This window comes from Homo sapiens, chromosome 19 (assembly GCF_000001405.40).
Source record: "Homo sapiens chromosome 19, GRCh38.p14 Primary Assembly".
In the NCBI taxonomy this organism is placed as follows: Eukaryota; Metazoa; Chordata; class Mammalia; order Primates; family Hominidae; genus Homo; species Homo sapiens.
Genome location: NC_000019.10, coordinates 10,133,273 through 10,151,617, shown reverse-complemented (window position 1 = coordinate 10,151,617; position 18,345 = coordinate 10,133,273). Strand labels below are relative to the sequence as shown.

Below are 18,345 nucleotides of genomic sequence, written 5' to 3'. Positions count from 1 at the left end.
TGTTATGAAGAAAACAGCCCCGGTTGGTCTTACTTAGAAAAGGGGCCTTAGGTATAACCAGTGACATTGCAGGTGTCCCAATATGGCCATGAAGGAGGCAGATGACGATGAGGAAGTCGATGATAACATCCCAGAGATGCCGTCACCCAAAAAAATGCACCAGGGGAAGAAGAAGAAACAGAACAAGAATCGCATCTCTTGGGTCGGAGAAGCCGTCAAGGTAACCCTTGGAGCCCCTTGGTCAGCTCACTGCCATGTTCCCAATAAGCAGGTTGCCCTCTAGTATCTCGCCAACCTGACCTCTCAGGCAGCCTGAGCCCCGGCACTAAGAAACCTGTCTGTTTGCCCCTGAGAAGAGCGGGACTGGCCAAGAGACCATGTTCCATGGCTCAGTACCAGCAAGGCATTTTTGTGTGGCCACAAGGCTCAGTTCTCCTAATGTCCCAAAATGGGCATTTGACACAGTTCTAGGGGCATCAGGCAGGTGAGCCCTCATAGCTTGTTTTTCTGTTTTGTTTTGTTTAAGATGGAATCTTGCTCTGTCACCCAGGCTGGAGTGCAGTGGCACGATCTCAGCTCGCTGCAACCTCTGCCTCCCAGGTTCAAGCGATTCTCCTGCCCCACCCTCCTGAATAGCTGAGATTACAGGCGTGCACCACCATGCCAGGCTAACTTTTTTTGTATTTTTAGTAGAGACGGGGTTTCATCATGTTGCCCAGGCCATTCTCGAACTCCGGCCTCAAGTGATCCACCCACCTCAGCCTCCCAAAGTGCTGGGATTACAGGCAGGAGCCACTGTGCCTGGCCCCTCATAGCTTGTTTCCAAGAGAGCTGTCACAGCCCCCTCTGGTGTGGGGTGGGTCTTTTTGGGGCACCAACAGATGGCCTCCCATCCGTTCTGTGGTCATTGGCTTCACTGAAGGTCAGTTCCTTTACCACAGTGTGAGAGAGAGGAGTGAGTATCCTCTGTGTTGCTTCTCTGACGTCCATAAATTAAAGATGCAATCAGTTCACTTAATTATGAGGCTTGCCACCTGCTGGCTGCCTGGGCCGTGGCTGAGCCCCTGCAGGAGGACAGACATGGGTACTGCTGCATGGCATGAGTGCCTCTGCAGGGTAGGGGGCTGGGAGGAGGCTGGGGCCACGAGGCCTTGCAGAGGTGACACCTGGGCTGAGATGGAGAAGGTCAGGTAGGACCTAGCCACACGACCTGGGGGAGAGCTGCACTGAGGTGGCAGTCAGCTTACTTTGTTGGAGAAAAGGAAGGAGGCCCCTGCAGCTGGAGTGGCTTGAGCCAGGGGATGATGGGCAGGACAGGGGTCAGGGTTCAGGCTGTGGCCTTACAGACCATGGTGAGGTATTGTGGGCTGTGCTGTTAAAATCAAATCCTGGGACCCGAGTGGCAGAGCAGAAGTGGGAGGGACATGGATGCCCTTGGCCACAGCATCTGGCCAAGGAAGGTGGATGTTCTTCTTTTTTCTTATTATTGAAGCCCTTGTAGAACAGGATGTTCTCTTTAGCAGCAACTCTTCATTGACTTCTTAATGAAATCGAGTCATGTCTTACTTTAAGTAACAGAGGACCATGCAAGTCAAGGCCAGCAAAGACCCTCAGAATGATCCTCCATGAACTTATGCTCTCATTTTCAGACTGATGGGAAGAAGAGTTACTATAAGAAGGTGTGCATTGATGCGGAAACCCTGGAAGTGGGGGACTGTGTCTCTGTTATTCCAGATGATTCCTCAAAACCGCTGTATCTAGCAAGGTTTGCATCTTTCTTTTTGCTTGACTTCTGCATGCACTTTCTCATCAAGTAGGAGATGCCTGTTTTGCCAAAATAGCACCAGCAGCTTTTTGCCCTAGATGAAAACTGAAAAGGACGAGTGCTCCTGCATAGACTTGGTCACATATCTGCTGGCCAAGTCAGAACTTTCTCCCCATGCCCGTCTTCTGATTCCAGGGTCACGGCGCTGTGGGAGGACAGCAGCAACGGGCAGATGTTTCACGCCCACTGGTTCTGCGCTGGGACAGACACAGTCCTCGGGGCCACGTCGGACCCTCTGGAGCTGTTCTTGGTGGATGAATGTGAGGACATGCAGCTTTCATATATCCACAGCAAAGTGAAAGTCATCTACAAAGCCCCCTCCGAAAACTGGGCCATGGAGGTGAGTGCCTGGTGTCCCTCGTGAGCCCCTGCCTTATCGTGGAGGGTCACTGCTGACGTGCGTTCTGTTTTGTTTTGATTTGTATTTTTTTTTAATTTGGTTTTTTTTTTGTTTTTTTTTTTGTTTTGAGACTGAGTTTCGCTCTTGTTGCCCAGGCTGGAGTGCAATGGCATGATCTCAGCTCACTGCAACCTCCACCTCCTGGGTTCAAGTGATTCTCCTGCCTCAGCCTCCCGAGTAGTTGGGATTACAGGCACCCACCATCACGTCCAGCTAATTTTTTGTATTTTTAGTAGAGACGGGGTTTCACCATGTTGGCCAGGCTGGTCTCGAACTCCTGACCTTAGGTGATCCACCCGCCTCGGCCTCCCATAGTGCTGGGAATACAGGCATGAGCCACTGCGCCTGGCCTGACACGCATTCTTATCTCCCAAGGGAGGCATGGATCCCGAGTCCCTGCTGGAGGGGGACGACGGGAAGACCTACTTCTACCAGCTGTGGTATGATCAAGACTACGCGAGATTCGAGTCCCCTCCAAAAACCCAGCCAACAGAGGACAACAAGTTCAAGTGAGCACTGGGGCTGGACTCGGGGTCAGCAGGCACTTTCAGCCCACATCACTCCCTTTTCCCGTGTGCTTCCGTCTGGTTGGCTTCCGCCAACGGCCCCCCAGTTTGTGTCTCTTGCTCGTCAAAGGCCAGCCTGACTATGAATGATGCTCAAGTGTGTAGATGGCCTGGAGTTGCTTTAAGTGTGTGGATGACCTGGCGTTGTCTTTGTAAGAGGGTTCCCTACCCAGGAACAGGGTTCGTCTTGCCATTTCAAGACTTCCCGTGTGTTCTTCAGTGTGTGCCCAGCTCTTGCATGTTTTTGGCTGTTTCTTAGATATTTTCTCCTGTAAATGAGACCTCTTATTTGATTCTTTTCTTTCCTTTTTTTTTTTCTTTTTTTTTTTTTGAGACGGAGTCTCGCTCTGTTGCCCAGGCTGGAGTGCAGTGGTGCGATCTTGGCTTACTGCAAACTCAGCTTCCTGGGTTCATGCCATTCTCCTGCCTCAGCCTCCTGAGTTGCTGGGACTACAGGCGCCTGCCACCACACCCGGCTAGTTTTTTGTATTTTTAGTAGAGACGAGGTTTCACTGTGTTAGCCAGGATGGTCTCGATCTCCTGACCTTGTGATCTGCCCGCCTTGGCCTCCCAAAGTGCTGGGATTACAGGCGTGAGCCACCACACCTGTCCTCGATTCTTTTGTAACTGGGTGACTGCTTTGAGGGAAGCTTTTATTTTTTATTTTATTTTATTATTATTTTTTTAATTTTTTTTTTTTTTTTTTTTTTGAGACAGAGTTTCGCTTTTGTTGCCCAGGCTGGAGTGCAGTGGCTCAATCTTGGCCCACCGCAACCTCTACTTCCTGGGTTCAAGCGATTCTCCTGCCTCAGCCTCCTGAGTAGCTGGGATTACAAGCATGGGCCACCATGCCCGGCTACTTTTTTTGTATTTTTAGTAGAGATGGGGTTTCTCCATGTTGGTCAGGCTGGTCTCGAACTCCCGACCTCAGGTGATCTACCCGCTTCGGCTTCCCAAAGTGCTGGGATTACAGGTGTGAGCCACCGCGCCCGGCGAGCTTTTATTTTTTAATGTCCAATGCCCCATGCCTTCTTTTTAACCTCCGTACCTCACTTGTTTCAACTAAAAGCAGCAGCCAGCACCCCCAGAGGAGCAGGTGGCAACCAGGGAAACCCAGGAGGCCAAGAGGGCTCCCCGGGGGCATCTGTGCTTCTCCCATAAGTCTCGTGCTAGCTTTGGCTTGATCTCTATTTTCATTTTATTTTTTACTTTTTTGTGATGGAGTTTCACTCTTGTCACCCAGGCTGGAGTGCAGTGGCACGATCTCGGCTCACTGCAACCTCCACCTCCTGGGTTCAAGTGATTCTCCTGCCTCAGCTTCCCAAGTAGCTGGGACTACAGGCGCCTGCCACCATGCCCGGCTAATTTTTGTATTTTTAGTAGAGACAGGGCTTCACCGTGTTGGCCAGGCTGGTCTGGAACTCCTGACCTTGGGTCATCTGCTCCCTTCAGGCTCCTAAAGTGCTGGGATTACAGGCATGAACTACTGCACCCAACCTCATTTACTTATTTATTTATCACCCAACCTCTTTTATTTATTTATTTATTTATTTATTTATTTATCTGAGACAGGGTCTCCCTCTGTCACCCAGGCTGGAATGCAGTGGTGTGGTCACAGCTCACTGTAGCCTCGACCTGCTGGGCTCAAGTGATCTTCCTGCCTCAGCCTCCTGAGTAGCTGGGACTGCAGGCATGCACCACCCTGCCTGGTTAATGTTTTAAAAATTTTTTGTAGAGACGGGGTCTCACTGTGTTGGCCAGGCTAGTCTCAAACTTCTGGGCTCAAGCGACCCTCCTGCCTTGGCCTCCCAAAGGGCTGGGATTACAGACATGAGCCACCATGCTGGGCCTTGATCTCTATTTTTAAGGCCATCTTCAAGTCTCCTTTAAGGGCTTACTAGTCAAGAATAATGTTGAATTTCCTCAAATACCTGTTGAGCCTTTATGGAGAGAACAGTAGGAGTCTCTGCTGGATTGAGTTCCTCACTGAGCCACTCGGGACTGTTGCTCGTGGTGTGTTCTTAACCATATTCTAGACCCTGTTCATTGATATCTTAGGGTTTTTGTCTCAATGACTCAAAAGTTGCCTGATTTTCTTGCTATGTTCTCTCTGGGCTTTGGTCTCAAATAAGTGCCTTCAAAATGTCAACACAAAGCACAAGAAAGCCACCTCTTCCTTCTAGCATCTGCAAATGTTTTTTCCTCTTGGTTACCAGAGTCTCTGGATTAAGCTGGCAGTAGCTGCTGCGGCCACTGCCGGCCACCTCAGGGCCTTATGTTTCTGTCCCTTTGTTTCCTTCAGATTCTGTGTGAGCTGTGCCCGTCTGGCTGAGATGAGGCAAAAAGAAATCCCCAGGGTCCTGGAGCAGCTCGAGGACCTGGATAGCCGGGTCCTCTACTACTCAGCCACCAAGAACGGCATCCTGTACCGAGTTGGTGATGGTGTGTACCTGCCCCCTGAGGCCTTCACGTTCAAGTAAGTGCCCCCTCGGAGCAGCCGGGGCCAGGGCGCTCCAGGCTGAGCCAGGCTGGCTTTGTGGTGTCCCCCTCCTTACAGACATTGCCAATCCCTCCGCACCAGCTGTTGTCCTAGCCGTCACGTTGGCATAGGTGGCAAACAGACAACATAAATCGTGTAGACTGACCATGATGCTATTGCAGAGCAAAGCTGAGCGTAAAAGTCAACTCGCTGGTTTGGCTGGGTGTGGTTTCTCACGCCTGTAATCCCAGCGCTTTGGGAGGCCGAGGCAGTGGGGAATCATCTGAGGTCAGGAGTCTGAGACCAGCCTGGCCAACATGGTGAAACCTCGTCTCTACTAAAAATACAAAAATTAGCCGGGTGTGGTGGTGCGCGCCTGTAGTCCCAGCTACTCGAGAGGCAGAGACAGGAGAATCACTTGAACCTGGGAGGCAGAGGTTGCAGTGAGCCAAGATCATGCCACTGCACTCCATCCTGGGCAACAGAGTGTGACTCCGTCTCAAAATAAAAAAAGAAAAAAAAAGAACTTACTGGATAAAGCGCGAGGGACAGCTGGGGGCCCACCCCCAAGTTCTGCCTCTGCCCAAGGACACCTCCTCTCCGTCCCCTACTGTGAAGTGGGAGAGTGGGATCTTGCCTGCTGGGGCTCGAAGGGTTGAGTGAGTTGAAAGTGCTCCATACAGTACCTGGCTTAAAGTAAAGGTTTAACGGACATGAGTTACTTCTTGGTTAGAGGGAATCACATCAGATGACTTCTCTGTGTCAGAGGATCGAGGCTCTTCCAGGAAAAACCTAAAGCCACAGATCGTTTCCACACTGATCCATTCTGTGTTTTTTCTAAGAATCAGCGTGTGGTTGGAATTACAGCCAACGTTTTCCAGATGCCTTCCCGGCTCACAATTCCATTTCCTTAGAGCCCCAGCTCCCTTGCCTTAGTTCAGTTACTGTGAATTATGAGAACTGGAGAAGCAGGTTCCCTCCAGCCTTGGCACAGTTGGGGCGCGTTACCCCCTCTGGTTGTCCTTGGTGGGAAGGGGACACCTCCCCGTAGTGTTTTCTGCCAGTTGCTCCTGGCAAAGTGGGAGAGTCAGCACAGAGACGCCTTTGGGGCCCGTCAGACTCCTGGGGGGCCTAGTGGGGAGAACGTGACAGCTGACTTCCCTAACGGCAGGCCTTCTTCAAAGAACAGCTTTTCCACACTAGTCAGACCACACTCCCATTGTCCCAGGCCCTGTGGCGCCTTACATTGGCCTCCAGTGTCGCTTCTAGATCAGAGCCTTAGTCAGGGTAGCGTAGGTTGTATCATAGCAACAACCCCAAATCACAGTGACTTAAAACCACAGAAGCTGGACTGGGTGCGGTGGCTCATGCCTGTCAGGAGTTCAAGACCAAGACCAGCCTGGCCGACATACCTGTCTCTACTAAAAATAAATTAGCCAGGGTTAGCTGGGTGTGGTGGTGGGCACCTGTAATCCCAGCTACTTGGGAGGCCGAGGCACGAGAATCGCTTGAACCTGGGAGGAGGAGTTGCAGTGAGCCGAGATTGTGCCACTGCACTCTAACCTGGGTGACAGAGTGAAACTCTCTCAACAAAAACCACGGTAGCCGCTGTCTCGCTCATACGAGGTGCCCATCACAGGTCAGCAGAGGACTCCACCTGTTGTGTCCCTTGGATATCTGGGCCGCTGGAGTCAGAAGTTGCCAGTGTTTGAGCCCAAGGGAAAGCACACAGGACATTCCCCAGGCAGTGACATCCTCTTTGGTCACTTCTGCCCACGTCACATGCCAGGAAACACAAGATGCCAAGTAGTCGGGAGGCAGGAGCCTGGGGTATTTGAGCAGTGTCAGCCACCACCGTAGCCAGTAATGCGCAGAGGGTGAATGCGTGCTTCAAACTGTGAGACTAAATCTGCAGCTAAATCTTTTTTTTTTTTTTCTGTGAGATGGAGTCTTGCTCTGTCACACAGGCTGGAGTGCAGTGGCACAATCTCAGCTCACTGCAACCTCTGCCTCCTGGGTTCAAGCAATTCTCCTGCCTCAGCCTCCCAAGTAGCTGGAATTATAGGCATGTACCACCACACCCGGCTAATTTTTGTATTTTTAGTAGAGACAGGGTTTTACCGTGTTGGCCAGGGTGGTCTCGAACTTCTGACCTTGTGGTCCACCTGCCTTGGTCTCCCAAAGTGCTGGGATTACAGGCGTGAGCCACAATGCCCAGCCTAAATCATTTCTTAGGGTACACACCTACCTTAATTCATCAGGTGCTTGACTTTAAATGGTTATTTTCACTGGTCAGTCATGCCTGACTGACCACTGCAAGGTGGAAGGTTCATTGATGTCAAGTGGGTGCTTCTCTGCAGCATCAAGCTGTCCAGTCCCGTGAAACGCCCACGGAAGGAGCCCGTGGATGAGGACCTGTACCCAGAGCACTACCGGAAATACTCCGACTACATCAAAGGCAGCAACCTGGATGCCCCTGAGCCCTACCGAATTGGCCGGATCAAAGAGATCTTCTGTCCCAAGAAGAGCAACGGCAGGCCCAATGAGACTGACATCAAAATCCGGGTCAACAAGTTCTACAGGTCAGCAGAGGCCTCTGTTCTTCCACGAGGCCACAGACTCTTCTAGAAGGCTCTGCCTGAAACAAGGTTGTGGCATAGCACCCACAGTTGTTCTAAGAGTTAGGTTGAAGTAGCTGTTTTTCCAAGTGTTTCTGATTATCGGTGGGCACTGATAATGACTAGAATTCTAGTTCCCAGCCCTCACTTTTAGGTCCTTATTTTAATGTTGCAGAGCCCTTTTTCCAAAAGAAATCCTTAAGCTGGCTGGGCACTGTAGCTCACGCCTCTAATCCTAGCACTTTGGGAGGCTGAGGCAGGAAGATCACTTGAGTCTAGGAGTTCAAGACCAGCTTGAGGAAACGTAGTGAGACCCCGGCCCTACCAAAAAAAAAAAAAAAAAAAGACTAGCTGGGCGTGGTGGCACACGCCTGTAATCCCAGCTACTTGGGAGGCTGAGGCTGAAGGGATCACTGAAACCCAGGAATTTGAGGCTGTAGTGAGCCATGATCCCACCACTGCACTCCGGCCTGGGTGACAGCCAGACCCCGTCTCAAAAGAAAAAACGGGTAGAGTGCCTGGGCACCCCCAGAGAACCTCCCAAGCTCCATCTATGACTGTCCAGGTTCTGTCCCGCTGTCCCCACCTCTTCCCAGGTCCTCCTTTCTGTCTCTGGGATTTTTTCTCTTTCCTAAGCTTTTGGCCTATTACGTTTTCTTTTTCTAAGACCCGAGTAACTTGCGGTGATTAGGCATTAACCTGAAACTAGCCTGTACAGGAAGCTATACACTTGCCTCACCTCTTAGCTAACATAGATCAAAGATTTCCTGAAGCCTTTGTAATAACAGGAAATAAAACAAGGGCTGTGAGTGGTACAGGTGAGAGAAACACACTCGAGAGGCTGCTACCGGCAGGCGGACACAGCAGGGCAGGGCCAGGCGTGCAGAGCAAGCAGCCAAGCTGACCTAATGGTTGGGGGGTCTCTACCCTGTGGTTCCCTAATTGGGGGCGAATCTACCTTGCAGTTCCCTCATTTGGGGAGGGGTTATCTTTACCTGCGGTTCCCTAAGTAGGGGGGTCTTTACCCTATGACTCCCTAACTGGGGAGGTCTTTACCCTGCGGTTCCATAACTGGGGGGTCTTTACCCTGCGGTTCCCAACTGGGTCGGGGGTCATTACCTGGCGGTTCCCTAATTGTGGGGGAATCTACCTTGCAGTTCCCTAATGTGAGGAGGGGATATCTTTACCCTGTGATTCCCTTACTGGGAGGGGTCTTTACCCTGCGATTCCCTAACTTGGGGGATCTTTACCCTGTGGTTCCCTAACTAGGGGGGGTCTTTACCCTGCAGTTCCCTAAATGGGGGGGAGTCTACCTTGCAGTTCCCCAGTGTGGGGAGGAGATATCTTTACCCTGCAGTTCCCTAACTGAGGGGGTCTTTACCCTGCGGTTCTCGAACTAGGGGGTCTTTACCCTGCAGTTCCCTGAGCACCCCAGGAACATGGTACTGTTTAATTCAGCATAAGCTCACCACAAAGGAGAGCTCCTAACGAGGCCTCTCCCGCTCGCAGGCCTGAGAACACCCACAAGTCCACTCCAGCGAGCTACCACGCAGACATCAACCTGCTCTACTGGAGCGACGAGGAGGCCGTGGTGGACTTCAAGGCTGTGCAGGGCCGCTGCACCGTGGAGTATGGGGAGGACCTGCCCGAGTGCGTCCAGGTGTACTCCATGGGCGGCCCCAACCGCTTCTACTTCCTCGAGGTGGTGCCCCTGCTTGCTAGAGGGAAGGCTTCGGGGTCAAAGTTGGCCAGAAGGAGTCTGATGTCGGGTTATACACAAGGCGGCTTGGCTGCAGGGTTTCAGCTTTTGTAAGAAGTGGGTGGTTGGCTGACGTGAAGCTGTTCTGCAGGAGCTTTACGGGGGTCTGAGCAGGGTTCTCCAGAGCACAAGTTGTATGAGATTCAAGTGGTCCCGGAGTTTAACACTCCTGGTTTTTAAAAAGTACGTCATTAGAGAACCTAACGTTTTAGTGTCTTGGTGCAACTGAACGTTGAGGACCATGAGGCAGCTTCCACCAGCCTGACTGGTGTCTTAGTATGAGTTGGAGAAGGTGCCCCTGCTCCTGGGTCCCTTGGGCCAGGCGCCTACGTCCAGGCCCAGCCCACATGCCTGTGCGGGTGGCCCTCGTTATGGAGAGGGCCCACGAGTCAGCTGATCAAGCTCATGACTTGTAAATTGTTGGGGCTTGGCCTTTCCGTGTTGTTACCTTAAAACGATACATCCACGTTCTCCCAGGCATGGATGAGGTAGCCCAATTGGACAGCAGATTCTGCATAGCACTTTTTCCTGTTCTAGAAGGTACTCTCAAGTGCTTGTAATAGGCATTTCAGTGTCAGCCAGATCAAATGTTAGTATTAATAAAATGGATTGTTTTAAGTTTCTATTGTAGCAAAGTCAAACTACTCTTATTGGTGGCTAATTGGTCATGGCCCCACTGAGGGAGAAATTAAGTGACTATCAAATTGCCTTCTTACTAGTCTGCGTTAGAGAGGGGACAGTGCGTTTCTCTCCCAAACGATTGCAGTTCTCTCCTTTTCAGGCCTATAATGCAAAGAGCAAAAGCTTTGAAGATCCTCCCAACCATGCCCGTAGCCCTGGAAACAAAGGGAAGGGCAAGGGAAAAGGTACGTCATTGTATGAGTTTCTTTTCAAGTTATTCTTCTGTAACTTGGAGGCTGCCTGTGAATCCCTCAGTGTAAAACCACCTCTGGTGTTACTGACTCTGGGACAGCGAGGCCGCCTGAGTTAACAAGGCGCTTGAGAGCAAGGTGGACTTGGACTCTGAGGATCGGGTTTAGCCTCTGGCCTCTCTCCCCCAGGGAAGGGCAAGCCCAAGTCCCAAGCCTGTGAGCCGAGCGAGCCAGAGATAGAGATCAAGCTGCCCAAGCTGCGGACCCTGGATGTGTTTTCTGGCTGCGGGGGGTTGTCGGAGGGATTCCACCAAGCAGGTGAGCGCCCGTAGGCTCCATCTCTGAATACCTGGTGAGCCCAGACCGGGCAGGTGCTACCTGAAACGACTTCCAACCCCGGTCACCTTCCTGACTCAAGAATCTCCTTCCGAGGCCAGGCACGGTGGCGCACGCCTGTAATCCCAGCACTTTGGGAGGCCGAGGTGGGTGGATCATGAGGTCAGGAGTTTGAGACCATCCTGGCCAACATGGTGAAACCCCGTCTCTAATAAGAATACAAAAATTAGCTGGGCGTGGTGGTGTGTGCCTGTAGTCCCAGCTACTCAGGAGGCTGAGGTGGGAGAATCGCTTGAACCTGGGAGGCAGAGCTTGCAGTGAGCCAAGATCACACCACTGCACTCCAGCCTGGGTGACAGAGCGAGACTCCATCTCAAAAAAAAAAAAAAATCTTCTGGAGAGTTGAAAGCATGGCTTCGTGCTTGATCTGCCAGGCATCTCTGACACGCTGTGGGCCATCGAGATGTGGGACCCTGCGGCCCAGGCGTTCCGGCTGAACAACCCCGGCTCCACAGTGTTCACAGAGGACTGCAACATCCTGCTGAAGCTGGTCATGGCTGGGGAGACCACCAACTCCCGCGGCCAGCGGCTGCCCCAGAAGGGAGACGTGGAGATGCTGTGCGGCGGGCCGCCCTGCCAGGGCTTCAGCGGCATGAACCGCTTCAATTCGCGCACCTACTCCAAGTTCAAAAACTCTCTGGTGGTTTCCTTCCTCAGGTAAACGGGTAGAAGCCCCCCAGTGTTGCCAGACGGCCCGGGGCTGTGCCGCATGTCAGCAGTGGTCATTTTCGCCCTGCACTGAGGCCTCTGCCCCCCGGAAGCTCACAGCTCAGCTCTCACCAGGGAGAGACTTTGATAACATTCGTGAGGGGCTTCCGGCACAGTGGGTCGTTTCTTCCCTCTGTCTGTGGAGGTGACTCCTGCAGTCTCTCCTGCCCCCTACAGCTACTGCGACTACTACCGGCCCCGGTTCTTCCTCCTGGAGAATGTCAGGAACTTTGTCTCCTTCAAGCGCTCCATGGTCCTGAAGCTCACCCTCCGCTGCCTGGTCCGCATGGGCTATCAGTGCACCTTCGGCGTGCTGCAGGTGGGCCCTGGGGCTGGGGCGGGCAGACAGATGTGGCCAGCACGTGACCCGGCCAGCAGCCAGCCATCCCTTACTGAAGGCAGGGTTCAATGGCATAGGCCTGCCATCCAGGCAGCAGAGGCTGGCATGGTGCTCTGTCCCACTGGCGGAGTCAGGGGAGATGCGTGCTCAGCCGGCCCCCAGCAAGTCCACCGCTAGTGTCTCTTGAGCTGTGTTCTCGAACATGCCTGGGAGGGCTGGCTACAATGGGCTTCTCGCCATGCAGCTCCTGGCTCCTTTCCCTCGATGGGGAAGGGTGAGCAGCCCACCATGGAGCACTGTGGAATGGCTGAGTCTGCACAGAGCGGGAGGGGAAGTGAGGTGCGCAGAGCCATGTGTAGGCGGCAGCTGTTCGATTGGTTTAAAAGACAGTTTTGCTCTGGGTAACTGCGCACACAAACCCCCACAGATGGCCGAGGGTTGCACTCCAGGTGGCTGTGTCTGCAGGGACAGGGATGGACATAGTCTGTGGGGCCCAGGCCTTATCTGAAAAGCATCCCCCATCCTCTCTGTATCAGCTCAGCAATTGAGGGCATAATTAAAAATGAAACAGCTATCCAGATGCTAGCACAGGATGTCTGCCTAAGTGGGCAAGCACTTGGCTACCCGGTCCCCTAGCTCAGCCTCAGGGCGACTCAGGCTCACCAGACAAGACTTGTTGCAGCCACGTTCTCTGTCCTTGTGACCACAGCCATCAGGGAAGCGACAGGGCTCCTGGTCTCCAGTGTTCTCCCCGAGTGCTAAGACCTTGGGGCCCTTGCAGTGCTTTCAGAGCTGGCCGGACTTCCCCGCAGGGTTTGCTCCCACCTTCCCCAGTGGCTGTCCCCTGGGCTCAGCTGCTTTTGTTCTTTATCTGCTCCAAACTCCTCTGACCAGGAGCACGCCTGCTGAGGTAACTGGGGATTTCTGCAAGTGCACTCCGCATTGGCCAGCCACTCCCGACTCAGGCTGCTGACCCTGGGCCTGGGTCTGGCCAGTCCAGTTGGGAGTGTCCCACTGACGGTGGGGTTGTCCGTCCTTCTCCCCCACAGGCCGGTCAGTACGGCGTGGCCCAGACTAGGAGGCGGGCCATCATCCTGGCCGCGGCCCCTGGAGAGAAGCTCCCTCTGTTCCCGGAGCCACTGCACGTGTTTGCTCCCCGGGCCTGCCAGCTGAGCGTGGTGGTGGATGACAAGAAGTTTGTGAGCAACATAACCAGGTAGGTGGCCCCCGTCGCTCCTCCACACACTGCCGAGCAGGCCTCAGTAGCTCATGGGGCCCGTGAGTACTCCCTGGTGAGGCTTGGGGAGGAGAGGATGGTACAGCATCTGCCCTGCCACACGGTGCTCTGCCACATGGCACTCTGCCACCTGTGGTCTCCAGTTCTGACCCTGCATCATCTGCTTCCCTAGTAGATAGCATGTGCAGAGCGGCCAGCCGCATGCTTGGCTGTGGTCATCCACAAAGCCCACGCCATAGCCCCATCCCCCCTTCCAGATGGCATCCAGGCACACTGCCACCCATGTGACCTCGGGCAGTGCTGTGATCTCGGGAGAAGGCCATCTGAGCAGGCAGGGGGTGGCACCTGTGATGAGGGGACAGCTGCTGCGTGCATCTCCAGAGGTGTTGACCTCCTCCTCTGTTGCAGGTTGAGCTCGGGTCCTTTCCGGACCATCACGGTGCGAGACACGATGTCCGACCTGCCGGAGGTGCGGAATGGAGCCTCGGCACTGGAGATCTCCTACAACGGGGAGCCTCAGTCCTGGTTCCAGAGGCAGCTCCGGGGCGCACAGTACCAGCCCATCCTCAGGGACCACATCTGTAAGGTAATGGCACCCTGACAGAGCGGCTCCTCCTCGAGGCCCAGCCCAGCAGCCTCGTGGGAACAGTCAGCCTGCCCAAGACTCAGGGGAGACATGGAATCTGATCCCAGGCTCCTCCTCCCGAGTCCTCAGCCTTTGTGTGACCCCTGGTCTCTCTTGCATGGTCATGGGAAGTGTCAGAGCTCCCGCAGTCCTGGACTTGGTCTGGAATGGTGTCAAGCCACTGCCCACCCACCACTGCCTTCCCCCTTGCTGCCTCTCCCCGCATGTTTTCCCAGGATGCCAAGACCAGCCCTTTCACCATCCCCTGGCACCACTCCCCTTCCCCCACCCTAAAGGCTCAGCTTAGATTCCCACGCTCTCCTACACCTGCGCTGCCTCAGGTCCCTGCCGTGGCCTCGAGCCAAGTGCGATATCCCTGACTGTCTCTTTCCCGATGGGCGTGAGCCCCAGGGGGCTTCCTGGTCACCATGGTGTTCCCAGCTCCCAGCCCACCATGGATGCTCGGATGCTGCTCACATGAGGTGACAGCTGGGCCCCCCACACTCTTTCAGGACATGAGTGCATTGGTGGCTGCCCGCATGCGGCACATCCCCTTGGCCCCAGGGTCAGACTGGCGCGATCTGCCCAACATCGAGGTGCGGCTCTCAGACGGCACCATGGCCAGGAAGCTGCGGTATACCCACCATGACAGGAAGAACGGCCGCAGCAGCTCTGGGGCCCTCCGTGGGGTCTGCTCCTGCGTGGAAGGTGGGTCCTGTAAGTTGTGGTTCCCGGTGGGCTGAGGGGAAGGAAGGCAGAGCCCTGGGCCTTTGGCCTGTGAACCTGGAGGCCAGGGCAGGGCACAGACACACCAAGCCTGGGTGTCCCAGAGAAGGTAGCTGCTGACCATGTTGAGTAGTAAAAGCAGGCTGGGTTCATGGCCCACACCTATAATCCCAGCACTTTGGGAAACCAAGGCGGGAGGATCACTTGAGCCTGGGAGGTTGAGGAGGCTACAGTGAGCTGTGATTGTGCCATTGCACTCCAGCCTGGGAGACAGAGTGAGACCCTGTCTCTAAAAAGAAAAAAAAAAAACAATAAATAAATAATAAAAGCAGGTCAGGCACGATGGCTCACCTCTGTAATCCCAGCACTTTGGGAGGCCAAGGCAGGCAGATCACTTGAGATCAGGAGCTCGAGATCAGCCTGCCCAACATGGTGAAACCCCATCTCTATTAAAACTACAAAAATTAGCCGGGCGTGGTGTCGCACGCCTATAATCCCAGCTATTTGGGAGGCTGAGGCAGGAGAATCGCTTGAACCCCATAGGCAGAGGTTGCAGTGAGCCAAGATCATGCCATTGCACTCCAGCCTGGGCAACAGAGCGAGACATATAATACTAATAATAAAAACAGTGCCCAGAGAACGAGGATTGTTGGCTGCTCCACCCCAGGGGGCCCCTTGCACAGGAGGTGCCATCTCTGCCTCCCAAAGCTCTAAGAGCCACTGTCCCAAGCCTATACCCCATCCCACAACTGCAGCCTCATCACTGTCCTGTCTTCCAGCCGGCAAAGCCTGCGACCCCGCAGCCAGGCAGTTCAACACCCTCATCCCCTGGTGCCTGCCCCACACCGGGAACCGGCACAACCACTGGGCTGGCCTCTATGGAAGGCTCGAGTGGGACGGCTTCTTCAGCACAACCGTCACCAACCCCGAGCCCATGGGCAAGCAGGTAGGTGGGGAGGGGGCATCCGAGGGCCTGGGTCAGGCCCTGTACTTGGCGGCCTAACTAGGTGGAAGTGTGGGTTTAGCCAAGTGGGGGACAGCACCCCAGGACCCCAGGCACCTGGCCTCTGCCTCCTGCCCCTCCACGTCCACGGGACAAGCTCATAGGCCAAGGCCATGGCCGTATGCTGTCACAGTGCCATTTCCCTCCCTGTCCCCGACGGTGACCCGGCCTGGGTGCTACTGCCCTCGCCCACCGCGCCTCTTTCCCCCAGGGCCGCGTGCTCCACCCAGAGCAGCACCGTGTGGTGAGCGTGCGGGAGTGTGCCCGCTCCCAGGGCTTCCCTGACACCTACCGGCTCTTCGGCAACATCCTGGACAAGCACCGGCAGGTCAGTGGGGCGGCGCCCGCTGGGTCTGGACAGGAAGGAGGCTTCTGTGCCTGTCACCAGGTGGGGCTGGGGCCAGCGCAGTCACTTCCGGGAGGACGCCTGCTGGCTGCCGGGTAGCCCCATCACTCTCAGTGGGAAGACGGCCCACAGGAGGGACAGTGCTGAGACATCCGAGTCAGGCTGCGTCCCTATGCTGGTTCCTTACTGTTTGTTTTTGAGGCAGAGATTGAGCCAGAAGGACAGTCCGTCGCGCTAAAGGAGCAGGCTAAAACCCATGGTGGCGACAGCTCACTCGCTGTAGGTTCAAATGAACTAGCACCTTAATTCCTACCTGCTTCTCAGGTGTCGGGTTGGCTTAACAAGTTAGTCTATGAGTTAGTCTCAGTTAAGTGTATTTTCATCATAGGGCACGCGCATTGCTTAAAAACCAGTGTCCACGGTTCTTGTGAAAACCACATTTCACCCCTCCCCCCGAATCTGGTTCTCGGGAAGCAGCCACTCTCTCTTTTTTTTTTTTTTTTTTGAGATGGAGCTTTGTTCTTTCGCCCAGGCTGGAGTGAAGTGGCGTGATCTCAGCTCACCGCAACTTCCACCCCCCTGGTTTTAAGTGATTCTCCTGCCTCAGCCTCTTGAGTAGCTGGGATTACAGTCATGTGCTACCACACCCGGCTAATTTTTGTATTTTTAGTAGAGATGGGGTTTCACCATGTTGGCCAGGCTGGTCCCGAACTCTTGACCTCAGGTGATCCGCCTGCCTCGGCCTCCCAAAGTGCTGGGATTACAGGCATGAGCCACTGCGCCGGCCAGGGAAGCAGCCACTCTTAACTGGGAGCGAAACGTGTCTAGGTGGCCCATTTGTCTTTTTTTTTTTTTTTTCTGAGACAGGGTCTCACTCTGTCCCCTAGGCTGGAGTGCAGTGACATGATCTCTGCCCACTGCAACCTCCACCTCCAGGGTTCAAGTGATTCTCCTGCCTCAGCCTCCTGAGGTGCTGGGATTACAGGCATGTGCCACCATGCCCAGCTAATTAGTTTTTGTACTTTTAGTAGAGACGGGGTTTCACCATGTTGGCGAGGCTGCTCTCGAACTCCTGGCCTCAACTAATCCACCTGCCTTGGCCTCCCAAAGTGCTGGGATTACAGGCGTGAGCCACTGCTCCCAGCCCCACGTGTCTTTGTCTCAAGTCTTTCTGAAGCTCTTCAAAGGCCCAGTGACTTGTGGCTGTGGGGCGGGATGATGGGCCAGTTGGAGGGTCCAAGGATCTTGTGCTGGAAGGGTTTTGGGCCCATGTGAGCAGGACCAGAACCCTTCCCCAAGGGGTGCAATGCCCAGGTTGTCCTCCATCTGAGCAGGGGCTGGCAGTACACCTGCCCCCGGGCCTTGGGCCTGGGTGTCCACATCAGGCATTGCCCTTCTCCCCTCCTGCAGGTGGGCAATGCCGTGCCACCGCCCCTGGCCAAAGCCATTGGCTTGGAGATCAAGCTTTGTATGTTGGCCAAAGCCCGAGAGAGTGCCTCAGGTATGGTGGGGTGGGCCAGGCTTCCTCTGGGGCCTGACTGCCCTCTGGGGGTACATGTGGGGGCAGTTGCTGGCCACCGTTTTGGGCTCTGGGACTCAGGCGGGTCACCTACCCACGTTCGTGGCCCCATCTTTCTCAAGGGGCTGCTGTGAGGATTGAGTGAGTTGCACGTGTCAAGTGCTTAGAGCAGGCGTGCTGCACACAGCAGGCCTTTGGTCAGGTTGGCTGCTGGGCTGGCCCTGGGGCCGTTTCCCTCACTCCTGCTCGGTGAATTTGGCTCAGCAGGCACCTGCCTCAGCTGCTCACTTGAGCCTCTGGGTCTAGAACCCTCTGGGGACCGTTTGAGGAGTGTTCAGTCTCCGTGAACGTTCCCTTAGCACTCTGCCACTTATTGGGTCAGCTGTTAACATCAGTACGTTAATGTTTCCTGATGGTCCATGTCTGTTACTCGCCTGTCAAGTGGCGTGACACCGGGCGTGTTCCCCAGAGTGACTTTTCCTTTTATTTCCCTTCAGCTAAAATAAAGGAGGAGGAAGCTGCTAAGGACTAGTTCTGCCCTCCCGTCACCCCTGTTTCTGGCACCAGGAATCCCCAACATGCACTGATGTTGTGTTTTTAACATGTCAATCTGTCCGTTCACATGTGTGGTACATGGTGTTTGTGGCCTTGGCTGACATGAAGCTGTTGTGTGAGGTTCGCTTATCAACTAATGATTTAGTGATCAAATTGTGCAGTACTTTGTGCATTCTGGATTTTAAAAGTTTTTTATTATGCATTATATCAAATCTACCACTGTATGAGTGGAAATTAAGACTTTATGTAGTTTTTATATGTTGTAATATTTCTTCAAATAAATCTCTCCTATAAACCACCCTGGGTGGGTATTCGTGATTTGCACGGGACTTCTGGCTGAGGTCAGACAGGAACAAGCTCTTCCATGCTGA

The 18,345-nt window shown here is 54.1% G+C and overlaps 1 protein-coding gene across 4 annotated transcripts in view, besides 1 other annotated feature; it reads left to right on the top strand.

Annotated features, from left to right (window-relative positions):
• The window catches only part of DNMT1 (DNA methyltransferase 1), a 61,608-nt gene extending 43,336 nt beyond the window's left edge, over positions 1 to 18,272 (top strand). For 3 of the 4 annotated variants that reach the window (NM_001318731.2, NM_001379.4, NM_001130823.3), the window contains 18 exons: positions 73 to 220; positions 1,650 to 1,765; positions 1,961 to 2,165; positions 2,601 to 2,734; positions 5,094 to 5,267; positions 7,631 to 7,852; positions 9,398 to 9,590; positions 10,429 to 10,513; positions 10,709 to 10,837; positions 11,290 to 11,572; positions 11,801 to 11,942; positions 13,013 to 13,179; positions 13,609 to 13,786; positions 14,338 to 14,533; positions 15,331 to 15,497; positions 15,766 to 15,882; positions 17,311 to 17,401; positions 17,917 to 18,272. In NM_001318731.2, the coding sequence (NP_001305660.1) occupies positions 73 to 220; positions 1,650 to 1,765; positions 1,961 to 2,165; positions 2,601 to 2,734; positions 5,094 to 5,267; positions 7,631 to 7,852; positions 9,398 to 9,590; positions 10,429 to 10,513; positions 10,709 to 10,837; positions 11,290 to 11,572; positions 11,801 to 11,942; positions 13,013 to 13,179; positions 13,609 to 13,786; positions 14,338 to 14,533; positions 15,331 to 15,497; positions 15,766 to 15,882; positions 17,311 to 17,401; positions 17,917 to 17,951 (2,782 nt within the window). In that variant the 3' untranslated portion in view covers positions 17,952 to 18,272. Of the gene's footprint in view, positions 1 to 72; positions 221 to 1,649; positions 1,766 to 1,960; positions 2,166 to 2,600; positions 2,735 to 5,093; positions 5,268 to 7,630; positions 7,853 to 9,397; positions 9,591 to 10,428; positions 10,514 to 10,708; positions 10,838 to 11,289; positions 11,573 to 11,800; positions 11,943 to 13,012; positions 13,180 to 13,608; positions 13,787 to 14,337; positions 14,543 to 15,330; positions 15,498 to 15,765; positions 15,883 to 17,310; positions 17,402 to 17,916 lie in introns of all 4 variants that reach the window. The other variant, NM_001318730.2, reaches the window with a different exon arrangement.
• Positions 14,978 to 16,177: an enhancer, noted in NCBI's record as "CDK7 strongly-dependent group 2 enhancer chr19:10246117-10247316 (GRCh37/hg19 assembly coordinates)". NCBI's record gives its function as "activates an origin of replication core promoter dependent on BRD2, BRD4, P300/CBP, MED14 and CDK7 cofactors, with strong dependence on CDK7, by STARR-seq in HCT116 cells {active_cell/tissue: HCT116}" and the evidence as "EXISTENCE:reporter gene assay evidence [ECO:0000049][PMID:35650434]".